The 25,836-nt window shown below is 35.3% G+C and overlaps 1 protein-coding gene across 23 annotated transcripts in view; it reads right to left on the bottom strand.

The window, feature by feature from the left end:
• NAALADL2 (N-acetylated alpha-linked acidic dipeptidase like 2) overlaps positions 1 to 25,836 on the bottom strand; it is a 1,369,567-nt gene that overhangs the window by 220,958 nt on the left and 1,122,773 nt on the right. For 20 of the 23 annotated variants that reach the window (XM_017006077.3, XM_047447876.1, XM_017006075.3 and 17 more), the window contains one exon: positions 13,404 to 13,550. The exons of 1 other annotated variant lie outside the window; for it this stretch is intronic. In XM_017006077.3, coding sequence (XP_016861566.1) covers positions 13,404 to 13,550 — 147 coding nt within the window. Of the gene's footprint in view, positions 1 to 7,073; positions 8,440 to 13,403; positions 13,551 to 25,836 lie in introns of those variants that run through there. 2 more of the 23 variants (XM_047447881.1, XM_011512617.4) reach the window with 1 other exon arrangement.

The raw sequence follows: 25,836 nt of genomic DNA, 5'->3' as shown, positions 1-25,836 counted from the left end.
GTTTACGTGTTTTTAAATAACATGAAAAGCTATATTAATTTTATTTTAGATAGATAAATAGGAATTATATATACACAATGATCAAATTTTAATTAAAGGTAGAAATTTAAAAAAGAAGAAACAGAGGAAAGAAGAAAGGAAGGAAGAAAGGAAAGGAGAGAAGGAAAGAAGGAAGAAAATAAGGATAGAAAGGAGGGAATTAATATTTGTGAGCACTTAGTAACTATCATCAAAATGGTAACAACAAATTGTATCCATACATTGATTTATCCATTTATTTACCAGTACCAATGTTTCAAGCAAATAGTAGGACTATTTAGCTTTCTGGTATAATATTTTATTTATATTATGCTACACAGCAGGGTTATCTCTGCAAGATATAAACTAAAGTACTATGGCTACCAGTAGAACAAAAGTAACTTGAATAAATTCAGATTAAATTCTTAACCAACACTCCCTTCTTTCTTTCTACTGTTTTAATTTAGAATTTACATGCTTCTCATTAAGATTCAAACACATAAATTCTAATGATCCTCTGTCAAAAAATATCTAAATATGTTTCTTTGCCTAAAATATTTTGGTATGTATACACACACCATTTATGGGTTATAAAACACACCATTCTACAAACTTTTCAAAGTAGTATGTGGCCATAATCTTTAAATTGGAGTTGATGGCAATTAGTAAACGTTTTGAGCTTGCCCGTAGTTTGATCAAGTTTGATTATGTATTTCTTTGCTTAGAAAGTCTCCTGGCAGGGCACGGTGGCTCACGCCTATAATCCCAGCACTTTGGGAGGCCAAGGCGGGCGGATCACGAGGTCAGGAGATCGAGACCATCCTGGCTAACACGGTGAAACCCCATCTCTACCAAAAATACAAAACATTAGCCAGGTGTGGTGGCAGGCACCTGTAGTCCCAGCTACTCAGGAGGCTGAGGCAGGTGAATGGCGTGAACCCAGGAGGCGGAGCTTGCAGTGAGCCGAGATCGTGCCACTGCACTCCAGCCTCGGCGACAGAGCAAGATTCCATCTCAAAAAAAAAAAAAAAAAAAAAAGAAAAGAAAGAAAGAAAGTCTCCTAAATTGAGCTCTTTCTTAAAAACACATCTCCCAGATACTGTGTTTCTTTAACTGAAGATTCTACATTTTGGGACAACTTCTTACTTCTTTTTATACCCCTATAGTATTATATTTTGAAATCTATTTTCAACCATATCCTGGGAATGGTTTGCTGTATTGAGTACCTCACAGGTTCTGGTCACAACCACTGAACAGCTACACCTTTTAAAACCCAGTTTAGACCAAAACCCAATTGAGATTGCCAATGACTCTATAATAATTGGCTCAGGTGTCCACATTTCTTAGGGACCAATCTTAGGTAACAAGATTAAGGCATTGGATCAGGTTTATTAAAGAATATACATACTTTTCCTACCAGGCGTTACTGTCTTTTGGCATACTCAAAGTTTGGGTTGTACAGTCTAGGCATTTTTTTTTTTTTTTACCCCAAGGTTTTTCAAAGTTAAATCAACATAGATGTGTACAGAGTCCACAACTCCCCTTTTGATCAAGTTCTAGTTACCCTGAGTTCTAGGATCTCAGAATTCCCTGCACAAATGGCCCCATATTGGCTTCCAGTGATTGAGTTGTCCTCTTCCCCAGGTGTATCATCTCCAGGTGTATCACATCTGGTCTGTCGTCTGTCCCTCCACAGTGTAATACAAAGCCAAGGAAGTGGGTGAGGAGCAACTATTTGTGTGGGTTATGAACTGTGCTTAAAAATGCAAACTGGGTGTCCACACATATGCAAAGTCTCTCATGGTACGAGACGGGGTCAAAGTAGGCAGCAAAGGAAAAATAGGTCAAGAATCACTAATGAGGGGCTTGGGGACCAGTACTTCCTCTTTTACCACATTAGGGCATGGGATTCTCGGGAGTCTAAGAACATTAAATTTTAACCCACCCTTCCCAATCATGTTAAATAGGTTTTTCTCAAGTTAGGAAGGAAGATAAAATTTTATTTAACAGTGTTTTAATTTGATTCATGACATTTAAATATTTATTATTTTTCCATGTAATATATATGCCTTCATTGCTACCATTGCCTCATGTTCACCTGAAAATTTAGGAGAAGCCCAGGCTATGGCTTCATCTGTGAGCAAATATAAAATATCAAGTTTAATCAGTTGAAATAGACTAAATTTCAGAATCAACTAAAAAACTGAAAATACTGTTGACCCTTTAACATTATGAGTTTGAACTACATAGGTGAAAAAGAAGCAAGAGCAAGAATAAAACATATAGGAGTTTAAAAGCACTGGGAGTAGGGAGAACTAAGTCTGCAATTAACTCTTATTAAAAACTTTCAGTCAATTGAATGAATCTGTCTAAGCATTTATTTCCTTTTACTATAGAGTAATGAATAAAAATATTTGGGATCCACGATCAATGCTACTCTAAAAATCAATGAGTCAATGAGTGTTGGTGTCAGTCCATCAGAGGGAGTCAGGGCCATGCACATCCGTGGACCCACTACTCTTGGGACCATCCTTTCACCAAAGATGCCTCTGATCTTACTTTAATCATTTGGATTGTTCAAAATCATCCCTGAACTGCTGGAAGTCTTCAAACCAGTGGTAGTCAATGGGGTTTGCCTAGTAGTGGGAGACAAAGCACCCTAAATTTAACCCCAATGTTTTGCCATGGGCAATGTCCTAATCCAATGTTATTATTTCTAAGCATAGGTCCCAGCAGCATTTACCCAAAATTCTTATATGTATTATGGTTGTATTAATTATATATACCTGAGTCATTAATTAGAAATTATTTGTAAGCATGTAGTATATGTAAAATTTCTAATGCTCTAATAAGAATCATCATGAATAAAAATAAAGCAACAAAGTACTGGTTTAGGAAACTGAAAATGACCTTGTACATAAAGGTAGAGTTTATTTTTTCTCACCTTTGTCCACTTTCAGTACTACATAAACATTGCACTATTTAGAATTAAAATGTTCTTCACTTGTAACAGAATATTAGACATGAATAATTTCAAGGCTATAGCTATTGAGAAGAGACTGTAGAAATCAAAATACTGGTAAATACTTTGTTCTCTTCAGCATTATTTCCATCCATTTAAAGTCACAGGAACAAAAACAGCATGAAAGGAGACTGAAGACAACTGCAGCCCTCTTGAGACTAATGTAAAAGCCAAAACTTTCATGAAGAAGAAGTAGTGATCTTTATAAGCCAAGTAGCGTTGACCTCAATCTATTTTTTTTTTATTTTTTAACATTTATGAGACTTCAAGGCTATGTCTTCTTTGTAGTCTGTACAGAAACATTTGCTTATTTAAAAAATAAAAACAAGATAAGTTTCTGTGTATACAAGCTGTGAACTAGACATAGAAACCTGCCATTCCCGATGTAAATAAAATAAGATTAAGTTGTGGAGATTCAAGAACAGGGCGTGGAAATTCATTCATGGCCATAGTCATCATCCACAGCTATTTGAGCTCCAGATGAGTCATTTCCTACTGGAGTTTATTGTTAGAGCACATGGGTATCAAACCTGTTCTTAACATTTTAATCTTAAATTTTTAAAAAAATCATCTAAATTAGTTTCCAAAATATTTTCAAATCTAAAAATATTCTACTCAAAGAAATGTGGCATTGTCATGGAAATTAGAAGACATGAACTTGTTCATCTCCTCATATTCCAAAATCAACTTGGAAATAAAATTAGGAAACAAGGGATAGAACAAATGCAACATAAAAGCAACTCACCTTTACATTACACGGACAATTACCAAGGAATGAAGAGACAAGGAAAATCGTCATCATATCTTTATTTTTTTTTAATTTAGGAAACTAAATACTCATGTTTAGAGTAGGTTGATTTTATCATATTTTTCCTATAATGCCCTTAATTCATTCCACTTATATTTTTTGGAAATGTAAACTTTTGGATGCATAGAATCTAGTTATAGGCTCTGTTTTGTAAAACAATAAACAAACTACTACAAGGAAACATTAACATTAGTTCTTGTCAGTATTTATAAATTATCAGTTTATTTTCAATTCAGCTAAGAAATATTACCCATTTATAGCTATTGCTTAACGTTGAGAATGGCCAAAGCTAAAACATTTAGGACCTTTGTATAGAAAACTAGAAGAATAAGAATTAAGCACTGTTGCATTATACTTCACCATGAATCTAGCAGAAGATAAAAGGTGTTTTAGAAATCCAGTCACGTCCTGCATAACATGTTGGTCAATGATGGATGGCATATGCTATGGTACTCCCATAAGAGTACAATGATACTGAAAAGTTCCTGTTGCCTAATGAGGTCTTGAAGATCCTAATGCTGTGGAGGCCTCGGTTAGTGTGTGTGTCTGTGCCTTAGTTTTTAACAAAAAAAATTTTTTAAAGTAAATAAATAAATAATTTATAAAAATAGAAAAAAGCTTATAGAATAAGGATAGCAAACAAGAAAATATTTTTCTACAGCTCTATAATATGTTGGGTTTTAAGCTAAATGTTATTACAAAAGGGTCAAAAAGTTAAAAAAAAGTTTACAAAGTAAAAAAGTTACAGTAAACTAAGGTTATTTATTACTAAAGAAAGATTTTTAAAATAAATTTAGTGTAGCCTATGTGTATAGTGTTTATTAAGTCTTTAATAGTGCACAGAAATGTCCTAGGCCTTCACATTCACTCACCACTTACTCATTCACCCAGAGAAACTTCCAGTCCTGAAAGCTCCATTCATAATAAGTGCCCTATACATGTGTACCACTTTTTAACTTTTATATTGTACTTTACTGCACTTTTTATATGTTTAGATTCACAAATACCATTGTATTATAATTGTCTCTAGTATTCAGTACAGTCTACAGTATCATGCTGTGCAGGTTTGTGGCCTAGGATGAATAGGCTACGCCATATAGCCTAGGTGTCTAGGAGGCTATACCATCTAGTTTTGTGTAAGTACACTCCATGATGTTTACACAACAAAATCACCTAATGACATTTCTCAGAACATATTTCCATCATTAGAGACACATGACTATACATCATTTTGTCTAGAAAACCTTGAGAAACAGCATAAAAGTAGAGAAAAGAGTCCAGAAATCTGGTGATAGAATGTTAGGTTGGAATCTTGATTCTATCATTGAATAGATGGGTGACCTTGGCCAGTTTTCTTAACTGCTTTGTGCTCAGTTTCCTCATCTATAATAAAAGTGATAACAGTAGGGCGGGCGTGGTAGCTCACACCTGTAATCCCAGCACTTTGGGAGGACAAGGTGGGTGGATGACCTGAGGTCAGGAGTTCGAGACTGGCCTGGCAACATGGTGATACCCCAACTCTACTAAAAATACAAAAATCAGCTGGGCATGGTGGTGCATGCCTGTAATCCCAGTTACTCAGGAGGCTGAGGCAGGAGAATTGCTTGAACCTCGGAGGTGGAGGTTGCAGTGAGCTGAGATCGCACCAATGCACTCTAGCCTGGGTGACAGACCCAGACTCCATCGCAGAAAAAAAAAAAAAAGTAGTGACAATAGTACCTTCCTCACTGGTGCTAGTTACAACTTTATAACTGTAATAATTGAGTTAACATGTATAAAAGACTTAGAACAGAACAATGCCTGACGCAAACATTATATAAGTGTTTGTTCAATATAATTTTCCTTGCTCTACCTTGCCTTTATCATTTTACTGTCCTCTTGGCAAATATGATTTGTCCTACTGGTTGACAGGTTAATTAATTAGAAGCTAGTTCATATAAATAATCAGTTTTTTAAAAAGAAACCAAATTAAGTAAAACTTTGTATTTTAATTAAAAACCTGTGAGTGCACATTTATTGGCCAATATTTTGAAGTAAAGCCAAGGCTTTTTCTCTGAACATTGTCTTGTTGAATAAAATTCTATTATTTCTTTCTTGCCCTATACATTATCTGCATTACTGCCTCTTGTTTAAAACTTTTAAAAATACTCATGAAGTAAACTGATTTCAGAATGCATCCAGATTACTATCAATTTCCTCCAGTCTTTGATAGTTGCCTGGTTCCCCACACATCTGATTTTTTTTTTTTTTTTGCAGCTCATCCTTTCAGATTGTCGTAAATATAGGTTTCTTAGCAGCTTTTCTTTCATATTCACGATTCACAAGCTTATGTAACAATTAAATTGTCTAATCATGAGATACAATTGCATTTGCAAAGGGCATATACAGACAGTCTCCAACTTACGATGGTTTGACTTCACAATTTTTCCACTTTATGATGGTGTGAAAGTGATAAACATTCAGTAGGAACCATACTTCAAATTTTGAATTTTGGTCTTTTTTATGGGCTAGTGATATGCAACACGATACTCTCTTGATGCTGGGATCAATAATGTATCACAAAGTCTATTTTATAATAAGCTGTTGAATATATCATGTAATTTATTGACTGCTGTACCGAAAGAGTTCTGAGTATAGGCTAGGCTAAGGTAACATGTTTGGTAGGTTAGGTTTATTAAATGCATTTTAGACAGGAAATTGTCAGCATATGGTGGGTTTATTGGGCTGTAACCCCACTGTAAGTCGAGTAGCATCTGTATAGATTTGAGAATGTAGTTGACTCCACGCAAGCATATCACTGAACCTGAGAGAATAAAAGTCCACAAAACTCCAGAAAGGGTCTTACTGTGAGGAGCTTCAGAAATCTTTGATCATTGGCCATTACGTTTTAAAGGAGTGGAAATTGTCAATCAGTTCTGCGTGTTGGTTAAATGGAAGTCAATGATGAGAACTTCTATTGTACTTACTTTATTTAATTGTTTATACGACTGAGTTTGAATCTAGACTGTGACCACTTTGAGAGAAAGAGGGGCATGTTTTATTCATCTTTGTATTTCTAACACAGTGCCTGGATCACAGCAAGTGCTTAATAACTGCTGGCTAAATAACAAATATCTGTTAACAGTTAATAAAATATGTTAAAGTTGTCCTATATTCTTAACTTGACTGTTGTCAATTTTATAACATGGTTTATCATTAACCCACCTGCAAGTAGCATTATTGAAATTATTTTTAAAAAGGCTTTATTAGAAAACTCCTTTCATCATAACAAAGATGATCACAAGATAATCACTGAAAGCAGCATTAGAATTAAAATATAGTGCGTATGCTATATATTTTGATCCAATGATATAGTCATTTAGAATAAATATTCTTATTTAGATTTCTAAGCAAGGACAACTGCTAAGGGAAAGCTGTCCTCCTTGCAGCCATTTCAAAATATTAGGCAATTTGAAGTAGATCTTTTAAATTATCCATTTGTGTTTTAAGTGTATCTCCATTCTCCATTCTTCTTTTTTTTTTTTAGTATTTGTCTCATATTTCAACTTCTTGTGTTTATTCCTCAGACTCTTGGAAGTATACAGTAATTTTAACAGGCTTCCTTTATGACAGGCATTTCATATACTGTACAATCAAGGTTTTCAAGTCTGCTCTATAACTGTTGATTTGTTGATTGGAGTTTAACCTTCTCTTCTAAAGAAATGCCTTTAAGAAGCAGAATTCTTTGTAGAAGCACAGTTTATGACAGTGTTTTATTCTCTACTTCATGCTGTTTGTCAGGTGAATGGGATAGCAATACTCAAAGATGCCCAGAAAAGATACACAGTTTTATATAGAATCACAGCTCAAATCTTTGAATAAGATGTAGTTGAATGCCTTGTCAGACATTACAAAAAATAAAGTAGACTGGTCTAACCAAGTCCATTTCCTCAAATAAGCATTCCTCTAAGTGTGGGCCAGAGACCTTCAAGGATCAGGAGATCAAAACTATTTTTATAATGCTAGTAACATTATATGCCCTTTTCACTCTCATTTTCACTCTACATTCACAAGTGTGTGGAGTACAAAAAGTTTATTAAGATGGATTAAGATTCCACATTGATATTAACCTTTAGGAAACTAATACTCATTAAGTTTCAATGTAGCTCCAAAGAAAAATACTTGTCATTATATGAATAAAATATTGGAGCAGATTTTTCTTCATACTTTTACAATAAAACAACATATTACAAAAGATAATGCAGGAACAGGTATGAAAATCCAATTGTCTTGTATTCAGGCTTTATTTATTTATTTATTTAGAGACAGAGTCTCACGCTGTCCCCCAGGCTGGAGTGCAGTGGCGCCATCTCGGCTCACTGCAACCTTCGCCTGCAGGATTCAAGTGATTCTTCTATCTCAGCCTCCTGAGTAGCTGGGATTACAGGCACTCGCCACCACGCCCAGCTAATTTTTGTATTTTTAGTAGAGATGGGGTTTCACCATGTTCTTCAGGTTGGTCTCGATCTCCTGACCTCCGGTGATCCTCCCGCCTCAGCCTCACAAAGGGCAGAGATGACAGGCATGAGCCACCGCGTCCGGCCTATTCAGCCTTTTTTAAAGAGATTTTTGAAACTGTAAGATAACATCACTCTTCTCATTTATATTTTTGTCTTGGTTAATATTTTTTAATAAAATAAGTTATTTTCATTAGTTTGTATTAGATTTATTTATATTGCTAATAATTATAACAATGTAATACTAATTTAGTTATTGATATTATGAAATAATTTTAAAATAAATATTATGTATTTTTCTCACTTCTAGTTTCTACTATGTAGATATTACCATATAATCAAAACTCTGTTTTGAGGAATCTTTGGTACTTTTGAGGGTAAATGGATTTTTAGACCAAAATATGTGAGAACCCCAGCACTAAATGAAGCAAGTCTGATCTGAAAATAATAATGACATATATCTAAATACCATATTGTAAGAAATTTTTAAAAAAATAAGTTACAAAGAAAGATAATGATCTAGAGAGAACACCAATGAACCCCTTTTCATCTTGTTTACAACTGGCACACTTTGAAGTAGAAAAGGTAAAATTTCATTCTTAAGTGACTTTATATAAGTTTTGTAGTTACCCACATGAAACAGATTTCATCAGATACTGCAAAACATCAGTAGAACGTATACACAGTTAAATGTAACCATTTTGTTTCCTTAAATCAAGAACTTTTAAAGGACTTTGGAACTATTTCTGTTTACCTAACATTGATTATGACTCAGTTCCAAATAGAAAATGTAATGAAAGACTGAAATGTAATGAAAGTAACAAATTCTTCTACTTAAAGTAAAACATGAAAAATCAGCAGGTAAACTATGAGTTACACTGTTCCAACATCTGTATATGTGTATTGTCAAACTGTATCTGTATTATATTTGCACAAATGAACTACTTTTATTACTTTTATCTCATAGAATTACCTCAATGTTAAAATTCACACACACACACACACAGAGGCATAATTACATACTGCTGTATATTGCTTTAAAAATTAGAATTGGTATCAAAGTTATCTAGCTTTAAAAAAATTTAGTAAGAGTTTCAAAATACCTACGGTACTTGAATTTCTGTCCCTGGGTTATTAAATGATATTGAAACAATTATGCCATGACTCCTGCTACATAAAAGCTATAATACTCTTTTATCTCATTATTATTTAAATGTTAAATGCTCTATTATAGAGGTAAATTGGGTTTAAAATAGAATGTTTCAAACAGAACAGCGAAAAGTATAAGGTTAAACAGAGTGAGGAATCAGAGCTTCAATTTATGATATGAAGCTTGCTAGGGCATGGATTGATCTTCTGATATACTAAGAAAGATAGACCCTCTGGCATGCCCTGTAGAGAATAAAAATACTGATTGAAACAAAAATGTAAAACAGCTGTTAAGTGACAGAGGAAATGTGCATTGGATCACCAGACTGCCATAAATATTGCACTCTTAATCAGAAAGCATCTGTCTTTTCCTTTTTGACATTCTCCGCATTGTATTTAATCTGTACAGAATGCTTCTCACAACAGGTGCAATGGTGTTAATAAATCTAAAACCTTATTTAAATGAAGCTTACAACTGGAAATGTTTCAATTAACAAGGCACTATTTTATGAGAAGGAATCATTCTAACATTTGGCAAATCCATAGATCGCAATGCATTTGCAAAAGTTAATTATTGGAAAATTAGAGTATAGAGGCCAAGAAAAGCTAAAGATCAAAGGTGTTTTAAGCAATTTTATGCAATGTGTTTGCATCCAGAGAAACTACAGGTAAAAGCCATTGGTGGGAATGTGGAATAGCTTGAAATATTGGGGATAGATATTACAAAATGTCATGTTTTTTTGACATGTCCATAAAAATTGGCCTCTATTGCACTAGTTTATTTTCCTACAGTTCAATTTTTCACCTATTATCATGATTCACTTGTTGAAATTGAATATAATAGATCCATGATCAATCTCACTGGATGATAGATGATAGATAGATAGATAGATAGATAATAGTAATTCTAAGATTTGCATTATAATCACCCAAATAAATGTCAAATAGATGATTTCTTCAAAACCATGGATATAATAATAAAATTAACTCTCTTAGAAAACACCCTTTGAAAGTGGAAGCAGCTATAAAATTATTCACTTTAACTCTTTTACTAAAGTGAGTGCAGAGATAATGAGCTCAGTCCCTACAGGGGCCACACAGATACTATAAGTGACACAAGTCTGGTGAAACATTTGACCCTTAGTTGAGTATTCATCTTCTAATCTTTGACAGAAACAGGTGTTGAAGAAAATTTTCTTCTTAACTGCACTCTTGGACAAACAACATGGCAGGCTAGTGAGCAGTGCCCATTTAGTTGATTGTTTCCGTGGAGAAAAAGTACACAATATTTCCAGACATTCAATTTTTCAGTAACTTATAGGTCAAACAAAATATATTGATAGACTATCTCTTGCCCTTGGGCTTCCAATTTGCAGTCTTTGGTATAATAGTTGAGAACATAGGCTTACTGTCAAACATATCTTAGATCAACATCTGTCTTGGCCATTTATTAATCTTTACGACCTTGGAAAAGCTACTAGCTTTTAAATTCCATTTCATTCTCAGCATGAACAGAGTTAATAATAAAAGCTAATTTATAGTGATGTTTTAAATAATAAATGATATAAGGGGTATAAAATGCTTAGCATGGCAAGTACTCAATAAGTGGTAAATAAGCAATAAGTGGTAGATATTATGGGCTTCTTTTGTTGTTGTTGTTGTTTTGAGATAGTGTCTCACTCTGTCACCCAGGCTGGAGTGCAGTGGTGTGATCTTGGCTCACTGCAACCTCCCCCTCCAGGGCTCCAGCGATCCTCCCATCACAGCCCTCCCCACCATCCCCAGTAGCTGGGACTATAGGCACCTGCAAACACGGCCAGCTGATTTTTGTATTATTGCGTAGAAATAAGATTTCACCGTGTTGCCCAGGTATCAAACTCCTGGGCTCAAGCAATCTGCCCGTCTCGGCTTCCTAAAGTGCTGGGACTACAGGCATGAACCGTTGCACCTATTCTTATTTTGTTTTTAATAAGATACGGATTTTTTAAAAAAAAGCAGAAGCCCAGAAACCAATGTAACTGGACCATTAACATGAAGCGATTTAAAATTTCAGGCCTCCTAATTCCAAATCTACCAATCTATTTTCCGTATATATTTGTAACTGTGACTTCATAAAAAAAGCTCTAATTTCCTTACCTGCTTTACTAATTGATATAGGATAAATATTTTTTACATCATGGGTAAGGCCTTTTTTTAATATTTAAAATTCCTCTTAATAGCTGTATACCAATATCTATTATAGGTTAACACAGAAAGCAAAGGGTATTCTGTTCCTCAGAGAGTTCAAAAAAATTATTTCATCTCAAGCATTCACATTTTGTAAGGGATAAATCCATTTTAAAAATTCTCCCACTAAAGCAATATCAACAAGGTCATTTATTATAAAGCATAGGGGACTCCATTTTAATTCTTTTTTTGGAGATAAATAATACAAATGATTTTGATGGTGGGAGTTAGATATTCTGGGTATAATTTGAAAACGATTGGATCCTTCAGACTAAGCCAGTTCTGTTAGATAGACTTTAGCCTTAGGATAATACGGTTCTTCTTAGAATTTCACTGGTCCCTGTTTCAAAATCTTCTCCCTATTAACACCTCAGATCCTCCAGCTGATCCTCATCAAATTCCACCTCCTCAGCCTGATAAATGTGTTTTCCTCAACAATTAACAAACTACTCCCTTCTACTGATGTGTTCCTATCTAAAAAGTTTAGAAATTACCCCATTAATATGTTGTACTTACAATCAGACAATAATAACTGCAATAGTGGGGACTTATTATCTGCTCAAGGTTAGCTAAACCCTCTACAGGCATAGTCTCATTTAATCCTCACCACAGCTCTGTAGAGTCCCTAAATATACCAAAGTACTTCATTTGTAAAATCATTTTGAAAGATGTTAAATAATTTGTCGAGTAAGTGTCAGAGTCAGGGCTTCCATCTCATTCCCAAGGCTATACTATTCTCTCTAAATTCTTGGCTTAAAACTAAACCAAGATGAATTAGACACATAATAAGTAAGAATTAAAATATTTTCTGTGTGGTTGCAGAGAAACATAAAGCCAAATATTACTCAATGCTATTAAAAATTAAGATATTGCATATCTAAAGTTGAGCCTATACAAACATAATTTAAGCACCCCTTCTGAGGAACATTTATATTTGAAGAGCAAGGCAGATTTTACCGTACTTTCCAGCCATTATTTTGTTAATGTAATAATTACCTCAAGTAAGCCATTCTAGAGGCTTTCAAATAGCTCCGAATAATGCATAAATAATTTGTAAATGAAGGTAAAATGTCCCAACAGGTTTAGATCCACAGAGAAACAGTTTCCTGAGACACAATTCTGAGAAAGATTAGAAGGATTGAAGTCCAAAAGATGGATGAACAGAGACTTAATTAAGGTGAATCATGCTTTTGTGATATTCTTTGGAAAAAAATGCTTCCATCTTCACAAAAAAAGTACTATCTTTTTTAAGCAGGCAAACTATTGACAAACTTTGGGTAGCTAATCCACAAGGCTCACATTAACATACAGACCATGAAGTGCATTTTCCTTTGGGCAAGGAGAGGAGAATCTATTGCACATGTCATCTGTTTCTGTGAATACCAAAGATTACAATTATGTTTTGATGTTAATCCAACTACTGCAAATTTCTCATTGCAGAGCACTGTGTGAAAATGTGAGTGACAGTATAAATCTTTTTAAATTGAATTCAATACTATTGAAAAGAGCTGATGTTTTCAAATACTATTACAAAGCCTTTGAAAAAGCAAGAATAACTCTCTAAATGAAGCCGCTTTTCTATAGTGACCTATTTGATATGAAAATTGAATAGCCAGGATAAAATCAAATTCTGCAGGTCTACTATATTGTGTGTGTGTGTTTTGCATTTTTTAGGAACAATCACCTCTAATGTTTTGATGTCCTCGTAAGCAAACTGCACGATGGGAACTCCAAGATGGTTGATGAAATAATCAGCATCACCTTGTATCTGTATAGAACTGATATTGGTTTCTGGGCACTGGGCTCTTCTGGTACAGTTGAAATTATTTTTCTGAAAAACATAATTTAAATTGTTAACACATACTATGCTTCCCAGGTCATCCCTAGATCAGTGCTACTCAAAACATGGTCCACAGATCAGCAGCATCAATGTCTCCCTGGAGACTGTTAAAAATGCAAATGCTTAGGCCCCACACTGTCCTACCTAATGGGTGGTAGAGCCCAGGAATCTGCATTGTAACTGTCCTCTTTGATTCTGACGCTCACTGAAGCATAACTAGCATTGGCCAGAATTAAAGCTTTGCTTGCTGTTGTTGCTTCAAAAGCATTTTTTATCATAAGCTGAATTTGAACTCTGATGACTCTGACGATATTTAAAAAAGAATGTTGAGTCTCTAAAAAGGTGTAGCATTTTGTTTTTTTAATTAAGGTTTCCCATAAACTTAAAGAATGCTTTGTAGGGTATAATTCTGTTCTTCTTAAAATGTCTATTAAAAACTAGAGAAGAGGCCGGGCGTGGTGGCTCACCCCTGTAATCCCAGCACTTTGGGAGGCTGAGGCAGGCGGGTCACCTGAGGTTAGCAGTTTGAGACCAGCCTGGCCAACATGGTGAAAGCTCGTCCCTACTAAAAATAGAAAAATTAGCCGGGTGTGGTGGCAGGAGCCTGTAATTCCAGCTATTCAGCAGGATGAAGCAGGAGACTTGTTTGAACCCAGGAGGCAGAGGTTGCAGTGAGCCGAGAGTGTACCATTGCACTCCAGGCTGGGCAACAAGAGCAAGGCTCCATCTCAATAAATAACAAATAAATAAATAAAAATAAAAATAAAAAACTAGAGAAGAAACTTTCTTCATTTCTTCCTGAAAGCATATTCCTAGATGTTTTAAAATTATATGCCAACAACTACAGTGGGCCATAGTGAACCACACAGCTAAGTTCAAGCTCTGGGGAATATAAGATGATATAGGCTATTATTTCTTAAACTAAGAGTTGTCTGGCATGCAAAACAAATGACAGCAGCTTTACGAAAATGAAACAAACTAAAGGGTTTTATAATTAATATTCATTAAAATGTCTTCTTTAATAAATTTCTCAAAAATCTAGAACATTTCTGAGATGCAATGGCATCAACTATGAAACGTGGAAGAATAGCAATCTCCCGGACAGTTGTGAGAAAATGAGACAATAAGTATAAGAACATCAAGTGTCATAACAAGCGCATAAAGTATGTACTCAATCCATGTTTGCCTTTGAATCAAGACATCAACTTTTCAACCTCTCATGCTTCTCTGGCGTGACATAATTTCAAAAATACTTTTAAATATAATCTATATAAAATAAAACTATAAAATCAGACCCAAGCTTTACAGGGGAGGTAGATGTCCCTGTGGTTAACAGGGACGATGAAATTTAAAAACAGAAGCAAGTGGACTTACTAGAGTGAGAAAAAGCTTTTTCCATTCTTGGAAAAAGCAGCTCCACAAACATTTGCTTTACACCCTGAGCCAGAACAGTTCCTGTAACCAGACACAAGAGAAACTGGAGCTGGAAACCACCCCTCACCAGCCCTTTGAAAGAAAAGTTTGACACAGAGTTCTCGTTTGGGGCATAGAAAACAACCAATCAAAAGTTTGACAGAGAGTTCTGGGAACATAGAAAACACCCAATCAGTACTCTACTATTTTGACCAATCAGAACTAAACAAGTTTGAATCCTTCATTTGCATAAACAGGCCTGATTGAGAACTGAGTGGGGAATTTTCCCTATTTAAGCTAGACCCTCCCTTTGTTCTTCAGAAAATACACTTTCACTTCTACTAAAAGCTGTGCCTCCCTAGTCTGCAGATGGTTGTTTTTAATAGAAAATAAAGCTCCCCACTTTTCCTTTTCAGATCACCATGTCTTTTGCTAATATTTATCAAAAGACTTGAAAATATGTGGTGTAATATTAAGAAAATAAGTTATTCCAACTTTTTTCAACCACAGTGCTGGATGTTATAAACATATAATAATGTTTTAATAACTATCTAGTTTCTTTGAAGACCTAATGGAAAGATCTTTGCAACAAAGTTAAACATCAATTAAAATGGAAAGCCAGTATGAACCTTTACAAGCAAGTCAGGGTTTCAGTTTACAGACAAGGCAGTGTTTCTGCTTAATGTGTTTACAACTATTTTGGCTGATTAACCACTTTGGAAATAGAAAAAGAATGTTTTTACCATACAGTCTAATCAGTAGCAACTTAATCCTTTTTATGGTGACCCCCACCCCCCACCAGCAATTTGCTTCTTTTCAAAGCTGAATTTTTCGAAAGTGGGGGTAATCCTTTTTCACTTTCTGACACATTCCTCTGGCTTAAGACTCCTGGGGATTTTATATTAAGCTGGGACAGTTTAGAGAGGGTCTTGAATAGTCCCAAAGAAGAGCTAGTCTTAAGCACTAGAACATGAAAAACAAACTATTTTATATCATGTTATAAATCCCGAGCACCTCTGGAGGTATTTGTTTAGCTAGGTTTTTGTTGTTGTTCTTTGTTTTTAAGTTGAATTTGAATGCCTGAGGCAGGCAAGACATTTATTAACATCCATCACTAGTGTCTCACATTGAGCCTGCTCTACTCATTCAGATTTACTGAATAGGGCCAGAGGTATTTGAATTTGTGAAATCGAGATTGTTGCACCATTTTATGTCATTAATGAGGATATGATAAGATCTGGTCTTTACTTTCTCCAGATGCCTGACTGATGAAAGTAAAAATCATTTTTAAATGACCTACTTTCTCTTTAATGAAGTAACATGTATGTCTTTTCAAGACAGCAAAAGCATCCTACTCAACATAAATGAAAATATAGATTTGGCATTAATTTTGTTTTACATACGTTAACTCTTAACATCCACCCATGCTCAGCCATGCTCCTTAGATCGAAATTTTTTTCTCAACAGAAAAATGTCATGGTCAAAAATTAACAATGTCAAATTCTACAATATGTGCCTATTAAAAATTATTTTTTAAAAAATAAACATTGCATTTAAGTTTAATATTTGATATTTTCATTGTCATCATTAGTTATATAAACATTTAGTTATATAATAGCTGCCCTCTGACAAAAGGTGTTAGTTTCTTACATATGCACCTTTCTAACATTGCACAAATGACCCCATTCCAATCAATCCTTGCAATTTTTTTTTTTTTTCAAGATAGAGTCTCACTATGTTGCTAAATGTTGCCCAGGCTGAGCTTGACCTTCTGGGTTTAAGGGATCCTCCCACCTCAGCCTCCTGAATAGCTGGGACTACTGGGCCCAGCTACTTGCAACATTTGTTTGCTCTAACAGTTACATAGAGCACAGTTCTGGTTTAGCCTCAGCCTGTTATTTCTGAAGCCACTGTGAGTTCTCTTCTAGTCTCTCTGTTCTTGCTATAGCTACTATCATTTAGCTTCAATATTTTCATTGCATTCCATTTCCATGGTTTCTTTTAAGTACATAATTATTTACATGTTTTGTATTGTTCAGGCAAATCAAAAGGGCAGCATTCAGCTTTCAAGATTACACTCCCCCAAACACTTCTGCATTCTTCCTACTATAGTTTGCTCTGCCTTGCCTATTTATTTAAAAGTCTAATTTTTTCCCTAAAGGTTTATATTGCTGCCTCTGCCATATAAAAACTTTTTTTTTTTTTTTTTGGTAAACCAACTAAGATGGCAACAGAGTGAGCATTATCTAGAAATATCTTACAATTCTATTTTGAGGGTTAAGATCTATTAAACTACATCTCTGATGCTACATGTGGACTATTTATGGAGAGGGGATAGCATATAGAAAAAGAGGGTTGAGTGACTGATAGCTGGGAGCACTTAACTTTTGAGCCGCCTCATGTCATCATCAAGCCCAAAGGGAGGGAAAATGCTTCAAAAAAGCCAAACCAAGATGGAGGCTTCAGGGACAACACAGTTTTCTGAGGAATACTCCTGGAGCTTGTTTCTCACCTACTGAACCCAGAGTTTCTCTGTTGGCCTTGCAGAGGACTTAACTCACCATTCCCCCACCCCATCCCCACTCCACACACAATCTTTTCTCCTCCTCTCTCTTTCTTTGTCTACCTCATTCTTTACTTCCCACTCTCACTAATTTAACCAGTGATGAGGGGAAGAAGCACATTACCTTCAAACCTGTGTTCATTTTGTCCTTTCATGCTTTTGTTTCTAACTAGCTTCAAAGTTAAAAAGTCAGATAACCCAATTTGCCCAGATAACCCAAAAGCTAGGAACCCAATTTGCAGATTTGAGGGTTTTTCTTTTTCCCAAGGTCATTTTATCTAGGGATTTCCCTTAAGAGAAAAACATTCCTGGCATAGAAACACTATTCTCTAAATCTTCATTATTCATTACTTTAATGTAATGAATTTAAGGCCAAATTCACAGACCTGCAGTGATTGTAAATCTATATTCAATCCTAATGTGAATAGTTTTTCCTCACAGCACTTCAGTGGATTATAACAGATCCATGTGAGGTAATAGACATTGATCTACTCAACCCTCATAAGCATTAATATTTGAGAGACTAGTAGGAAGAAATGTTAATTTTCTTTGTTTTACTAGAAGTTAAGCACCATGGAAGAGGGGAGGTTGGCAGCAAATTTGTGCAGGTCAATTAATTTTTAAAATTTATTTACAAGGCTGAGTAAATTCATGTTAAGAATTTCATCCAAGGAGTTCAAAATGCCTCATATTTAATGTTTGATAACAAGCATTTTTATTCCAGTTCATAACAGGGGCAAGTTCAGGCAAGGACCATGGTTATGTCACTAGCTTAATTTTCCACCCACAAGTCCATAGAAGACCTGAAATGAAATCACTACCTCAGTCCTAAATCTGTATGCTCTTTGCAAGTACAGTTTTAAGATGAAAGGCAAAACTTTATAGTAAATGATCATGTAAGATAAAAAAATTAAGTCAATACTTGCATTAGTTAAATAGTGATGCCAAGACAATTGACAAGTTTCTAAAAGTATTTTTAAAATCTGCTTAATAATTCAAATGTTTTATTTCCCCACATTCTGCTTTCTCCTGCATACATAAGCATTTACTCTACATGCACAGGAAATTTAAGTTGATTATTTACTTAAACAGCAAGAAAAGTGTAACATTCAAAATAAAAATACCATATTCAATACACCATAATAAAATTAAGTCACTTTTTTTTTTTTTTTTTTTGAGATGGAGTCTCACTATGTCACCCAGGCTGGAGTGCAGTGGCACGATATTGGCTCACTGCAAGCTCTGCCCCCTGGGTTCACGCCATTCTCCTGCCTCAGTCTCCCGAGTAGCTGGGACTACAGGCGCCCGCCACCACGCCCGGCTAATTTTTTGTATTTTTGATAGAAACAGGGTTTCACCATGTTAGCCAGGATGGTCTCGATCTCCTGACCTCGTGATCCGCCCGCCTCGGCTTCCCAAAGTGCTGGGACTACAGGTGTAAGCCACCTCGCCCAGCCAAAATTAAGTCACTTTCTTTTCGTTTCAGTTATAGTCTTGTAAGTTCAATTTTGTAGAAATAATTTATCTCACTGGTTTTCCTGGTTTTTACAGTATAGTAAAGTACCAATTATTACAATGACACCAATGATGTTAAAAAAATGATTTCTTGCTATAGGGCAGTGTGATGGTTAATTTTAAGTGTCAACTTGGCTGGGCCATGGGATGCCCAGATATTTGGTCAAATATCATTCTGAGTATGTCTATGAGAGTGTTATTAGATTAAATTAACATTGAATTGACAGGCTGAGTAAAGCAGATTGCCCTACTCAATGTGGACACCCCTCATCTCATCAGCTGAAGACCTGAATGGAACAAAAAGGCTGACCTTCCCACAAGAAAGGGGAGTGGGAGAACTCCTTCTGTCTGACTGCCTTGAACTAGAACATTGGTCTTTTCCTTTCTTTGGTTCTGAACCCCCCAAAAATAAGCTTTTTAAGAGTCTCAAGCCTGTTGGCTTTTGGACTGAAACTTAATAGCTTTCCTGGTGCTCAGACCTTCAAATTCAGACAAGCACTACACTATTGTCTCTCTTAGCTCTGTATCTTTCCAACCGCAGATCTCTGGGCTTGTCAGCCACCATAACCACATGAGACAAATCCTTATAATCTCCTTATATCTACAAATACACACACACACACACAAATTCATATAGTTATATATTACTGTATAATTATGTTATTAATGTATATATAAAGTGTCTGTGTGTGTGTGTGTGTGTGTGTGTGTGTGTGTATTAGTTGGTCTGGGCTGCTATAAGAGAATGCTGTAACAGGTGGCTTAAACAACAGAAATGTATTTATAATGGCTCTGGAGTCTGGGAAGTTCATCAGAGTGCCATCACGGTAAGTTCTAGAGAAGGCTTTCTTCCTGGTTTGCAGATGCCAGTTTTCCCGTGGTATCCTTACGTGATGAGGAGCAGAAAGAGAGAGAGAGAGATCTTGTATCTACCTCTCTTTTTATAAGGGCATTAATTTCATTCACTAGGGCTCCATCCTCATGACCTATGTACTTTCCAAAGGCCCCACCCACAAATAACATCAACATTGGGGATTTTGTCTTCAACGTGTGAATTTTGAGGGGACACAAACATTTAGTCTATAGCAAGATATATCCTATTGATTCTGTTTCTTTGGGGAACTCTGACTAACATAGGCACTCTTAGATGGTAGGTCACCTTTATGTTTGTTTTAAGAAATTTTCATTAGAACTAGTGAAAAATTAAACTTTAATTTCTAACTAATGGTAGTAAGAAGAATTGTGTTATTTGATTAGCTGGAGGTAATTTGACAAAATTTTGTTATAACATTTTTAGTTTAGAACTTTATAGATGTGGTCCTGGGCAGTGTGAACATGTAAACATTGAAGGATCATGGATAAATCATTACACGTGAAACTGAGAAAAGAACCTAAAGATCCTAATGCCCAAGGGTTCTTACCCTGAGATCCACAAATAGAATTAAAGATCTGAGAACTTGGTGAACCAGAAAAAAATAAAAATCTTTATTTTCACTTGCTTCTAACTGAAATTCAACATTCCATTCAATTATGAAACAGGCCACGCACCCAGTAACATTTGTTACAATATTAGTAGTACTTGTAACTTTGCAACCAAATAAAATCATGTTTTTATATCATATTTCAGTTATTGCCAAAACATTGAAATATCACTTGAACTTATTGCTAATTTGGAAATACTGCAGTTATGAGACACTTTGCTGACTTTTGTCATTTAATGTGTTAATTTTAAAAAGCCTATATATTACAAAAATGCAAATTTGTATGTTACTTAGGTAATTGCAGTTTAATATCATTGCTTTCCTTTTAACCCTGTGCATTTTAACTGAAGCAGTTGAAACATAATTTTTGAGACTGGGTCTATATAGGGCTTAGCAGCTTGCCAAAATAGCCCACAGCAGGGAAACTCTCCTAGCAAAATAGCTTTGCTTTACAAATTAGAAAATTAAGGCCCCCAAATTAATAGAATTGAGATTTAATCCCAGAACTTTTCACTTCAAATGCAATGCTCCTTTTTATGTACTATATTGATATATCCAGCTCACAAACCACATTAACGCATGGGAATAAACTACTTCTAAATGTGTCCTTTTTAGGATTCCATGGGTCTTTTTAAATTTTTATCATATTGCATCACCAGATCTAGTTGTAACAAACTACGCATCTATAATTTTTCTTCAATACTTATTTACTGTGTGTGCCATGTATTCTTCATTTATTTAACTTGTATTTTTATGCCAAAATGTGAACCCAATACCCAATATTTAATGATGCATTGCAGATGTCTTCTAATAATCTTTGAAAGAAAACAAAAGGTTATGATTACTGACTTTTTCTACTATTTTATACTAGAAGTTATTCTAAATGCCGACATCTAATGAGCTTCTCATAAACAAAATATCTCCAGAATAGTAAAAAAAAAAAAATTAAAAATTAATATATAACTTGCAATGCCTTTATTAAAGATTAAATTGGGTAAGGGAAGAAAACCAGATTTCATCTTATCATAAAATAGAAATTTTTGGGGCCGGGCGCAGTGGCTCACACCTGTAATCCCAGCACTTTGGGAGGCCAAGGCAGGCAGATTACTTGAAGCCAGGAGTTCGAGACCAGCCTTGCCAACATGGCGAAACTGTGTCTCTACCAAAAATACAAAAATTAGCGGGGTGTTATGACACACGCCTGTAGTCCCAGCTACTCGGGAGGTAGAGGCAGGAGGATTGCTTGAATGCAGGAGGCGGAGCTTGCAGTGAGCCGAGATAGTGCCACTGCACTCCAGCCTGGGTGACAGAGTAAGACTCTCTCTCAAAAAAAAAAAAAAAGAAAAGAAAAAGAAAAATTCAACCCATAATATGGGGTTTTCAAAATCTCCAATTTCTCAGGGTTTCAGCAAAGATTTAAAACCTACTTACTGGATGTTAACAAAAAGTATTTTCAGCTTTAGTGAAAAATTGCTAATCTTCTAGTCTACACAAGTAGCATTGCCAAATTGGAAAACACCCTCTAATTCTCATCTTTCTTCTGTTAATTTATACGACCTTAATCTTGTTATCGGGTATAGAAAAATGTTCTTTTATATTTGAAATACTTTTTATTTAAAATTTAAAATTTCATTATGTACTAATGAGTGCTTTAAGGATCAATCTCTAAGAAAAAAAAAATAGAGAAATACGAAAATATTTGCTCTTATTTTTACTCCAGCTTCTAGCTGGTGTTTTCTTCTCTACTCCCTCAACAACCGACCTTCATTTCCTCTTCCTCTTCTCTGACCAGTTCAAGATCCCTCACCAATAGTCACAAGATAGAAGACGATGGATTTCTTCATTTTTTCTCTCTCCACTTAAGACTTCGTGTAACAATAAAAACAGGTTTGTTCTTTTAAAACATTAGAAAATATTCAGATTTCAACCAAACTGTTGCATCTAAGTAAAAACCTCCAGTAAAGTAATAAAATAGTACCTACTCTACAGTATTTTAAACCACAGTAAGTTCCAGATGAATCCATCTTTACAATGTAAAAATCTAAATCATAAAATTGTAGTGGGAACAATGGAAGATAATTTTAATAACCTCAGAATGAAAAAGACATGTTTGAATATGACACAAACTCAAAAGATAAAAAAGATTAATTAGTCCTACTACGTAAAATTATAACTTTTCTGTATGACAAAAATTACCATAAACAAACATGAATGAAAACCTGGAAAAATATTTACAAATTATTTAACAGACAAATAGCTAGCTTCTATAATATATAAAGAAGAAAGATATGCTGATATAAAAAAATTAATGAAGATGAACTGATATTACCCAGAAAAAATTATTATAAATGCCTTTATACATAAAAGACACATAAAGCGACTTTTATATTTAGTCCCAAAAACCTTGTCAAGTTTGTTTGAATATGGACTGTGTCTTGAAGGACTGTGAGAAATCTGGCGCCTCATACTGAAGAAAAAAATTAATACAAATTCTATAAAATTTAAATAAGTTAGATTGCACACATATAATGAAATAATATACAGTCTTTAGAAAGAAAAATGAATCTGTTTACACACTGATAATGAACAATCTCCCAGATACATTTCTACCTAAAAAATAATGTGCTGAGATATTCTGTAAGATATCATTTGTGTTTCAAACATTAAAAATAAAAGTCTATACGCTCTAATATGTTCAAATGCCATTTGCCTCTGGGGAGAGACAATGGTATGAGGAATGGGTTTAGAAGAAAAACTGCCCATTGTCAATTTGCTTATTACTTTTGTATTTCTGTGAATGAAGCAACTCTCCAAAAAATAAATGTTACATTTTTAAAATTCCCTCTGAACTATATGTTACGTGTCCCCAATTCTAAGACTCCCATGATTGTAAAATATAGTATGAAAAAAGGCTTTAAAAAGGCTTTTGTGGCCAGGCACAGAGGCTCACACCTGTAATTCCAGCACTCTGGGAGGCCGACGTGGGTGGATCACCTGAGGTCAGGGGTTCAAGACCAGCCTGGCCAACATGGCAAAACCCCATCTTTACTAAAAATACAAAAATTAGCTGGGTGTAGTGGCATGCACCTGTAATCTCAGCTGCTCGGGAGGCTGAGATAGGAGAATCGCTTAAACCCAGGAGGCGAAGGTTGCGGTGAGCCAATAACGCACCACTGCACTCCAGCCTGGGGGACAGAGTGAGATTCCATCTCAAAAAAAAAAAAAAAAAAGGGGGGGGGCTTTTGTTTTTTGTTTGGACATAGGGAATAAACAAACCATGTAACAGATATGGCCCAGTTTCAGAAATATTCACAATTGAAGAAATGCCTAACAGTGGAGAAATTGGGTATTTAGAGTTGTGAAACAGATTTGGGACCATCAAAAATGCATATATCACTGGGGAGAGAACAGATAAGAGAAATTGCCACTTTATTAGGGAAAAACAGGGTCTCTTACAGAGGTTTTGGGAATGGACAACAGCATGAGGCCTCTGCTGGGGTAAGGGACACTTAAGTTGACAACCCAAGTCACCAGCAGGACACCAGGAGAGAATAAAGAGTCAAAAGATGGTGGGCCAACACGGAAAGCAAAACACCATCCATTTCATGATTATAATTCAGGACCATTCTTGCTTACACGGTTTGTGTGTGTGTGCATTTTCTAGGAAAGTATCAATGTATTATCAAAATATGCTAAATATGGAACACCTCACTCAGTCCAAGGAGGCAATTATATAAGGACTTACCATTTACAAATGGACATCATATTAGATGATAATGCAATTCTATGAGATGAGTTCTTTTTATTTCATTTTACAGACTAAAAGTTTTGTTATCCCCTATAGACATAAGAATAGTGAATGGAATGGCAGGCAGAAGTTTCTAACTTAGATTGTTGCTCTCTTCAACCTCCACTGCTGGCCTAAAGATTTTTCCTCCCATTTAGCTAAGGGAACAAGGAATAAGTTCCTCAACTTATAGAAAAAGCGCTGTTAAGCTGCTGATTAATCACCCAAACTAAAATTACCTTTTCAATGTAAAAGAAATGGAAGTTAAAATAATTTATTAGATTAAAAGACTCCATGGATTCCTTTGCCACATTGGCACTTTTTTAGCAGGTTTGATATTGGTCACTCCAGCAGCTAAACCTACTTCTTCACAAATTGCAAACTACATATAGAATGACAAATCCAGAGCCTTTCCAAAAACTGTACTCTGATCATATCTAAATGAAACTTTGAACACGTTGAAAAGATACGACTGTCCCATCCATCTTGACCTTTGGCCAAGACACTGGATAAACCAGACACCTGGATAAAAGCACACTCCCTCTGGGTACAATTCCCATAGGACCTTAAATGACCAAAAGAATCAAGATATAGATTTTATGTCTCAGTGAAGGATAACAACTCTGGCCTCACAATGCTGTTCCATGCTGAGGAACTGGCTGACATAACATAACTTCAGCTATTATTTCACCAGCCTTCTTGAGGTTTATCTTAAATAGCTTCTCTTAGGCTCACAGGCAATGCTATTTTAAATAATATGGTGTCAGCATGTCAGTGATGTATTCCAGCTGCCAGGCATTAAAAAAATTAACTGAAAAATCTAACTGGTTTTCAAATCCATATTAACTCTCTCAGACTGCAAATATGTTTAATGAAATATTTAAATTAAATCTTCTGTAGATGAAGCAGTTTAGTACCTTCCTTTAAAAAAATCACGTATTTTTTAAAAAGTAAACCAGAAGCAAAGAAACATTTCAAATTATTTTGCGTATTAGCATCATTCACTAGATACCAGGGAAAAGTTTGCTGTCCTCTCTGTGACCAGGGTTAGAGGGCAGCTGTAAATCAGGTAGGTGCTCTCAGGTTTTTTAGAGGTAATTCGTTTAATTTTAGGAGGGCACAGGGAGAAAAAAAATTGAAAAATGCAGACTTGGCAAACAGAAGGGCAAAAGGATGTGGATGGCATATCACCACACATTACCATTTCAAGCAGGTTAAATGCTGAGAGTGAGAAATCGGGCAGAGGAAATAACGCCATCAGCAGTAATATGTCCAAGTCTGACAGATGACAGCATCATCGCATAACCTTAAAACTGTGGGCCAAACTAACTGCTATCCTCAGGATAGCTTTGCTGGAGTGAGCCCATTAGACCTTTGCGGACACCATTGTATTCAAGGAGCACTGTGTATAGGACACCCAAATACTACCCGTAGCTCACACCCCAATGCTAATCCTTGAAGGTTTAGATTTCTTTGCTCCAGGTGTAAGGGCCATTACCTTGGTCGGACTGTACCAAG

This window comes from Homo sapiens, chromosome 3, assembly GCF_000001405.40.
Source record: "Homo sapiens chromosome 3, GRCh38.p14 Primary Assembly".
Lineage (NCBI taxonomy): Eukaryota > Metazoa > Chordata > Mammalia > Primates > Hominidae > Homo > Homo sapiens.
This window is presented reverse-complemented; position numbering and strand designations above follow the sequence as displayed.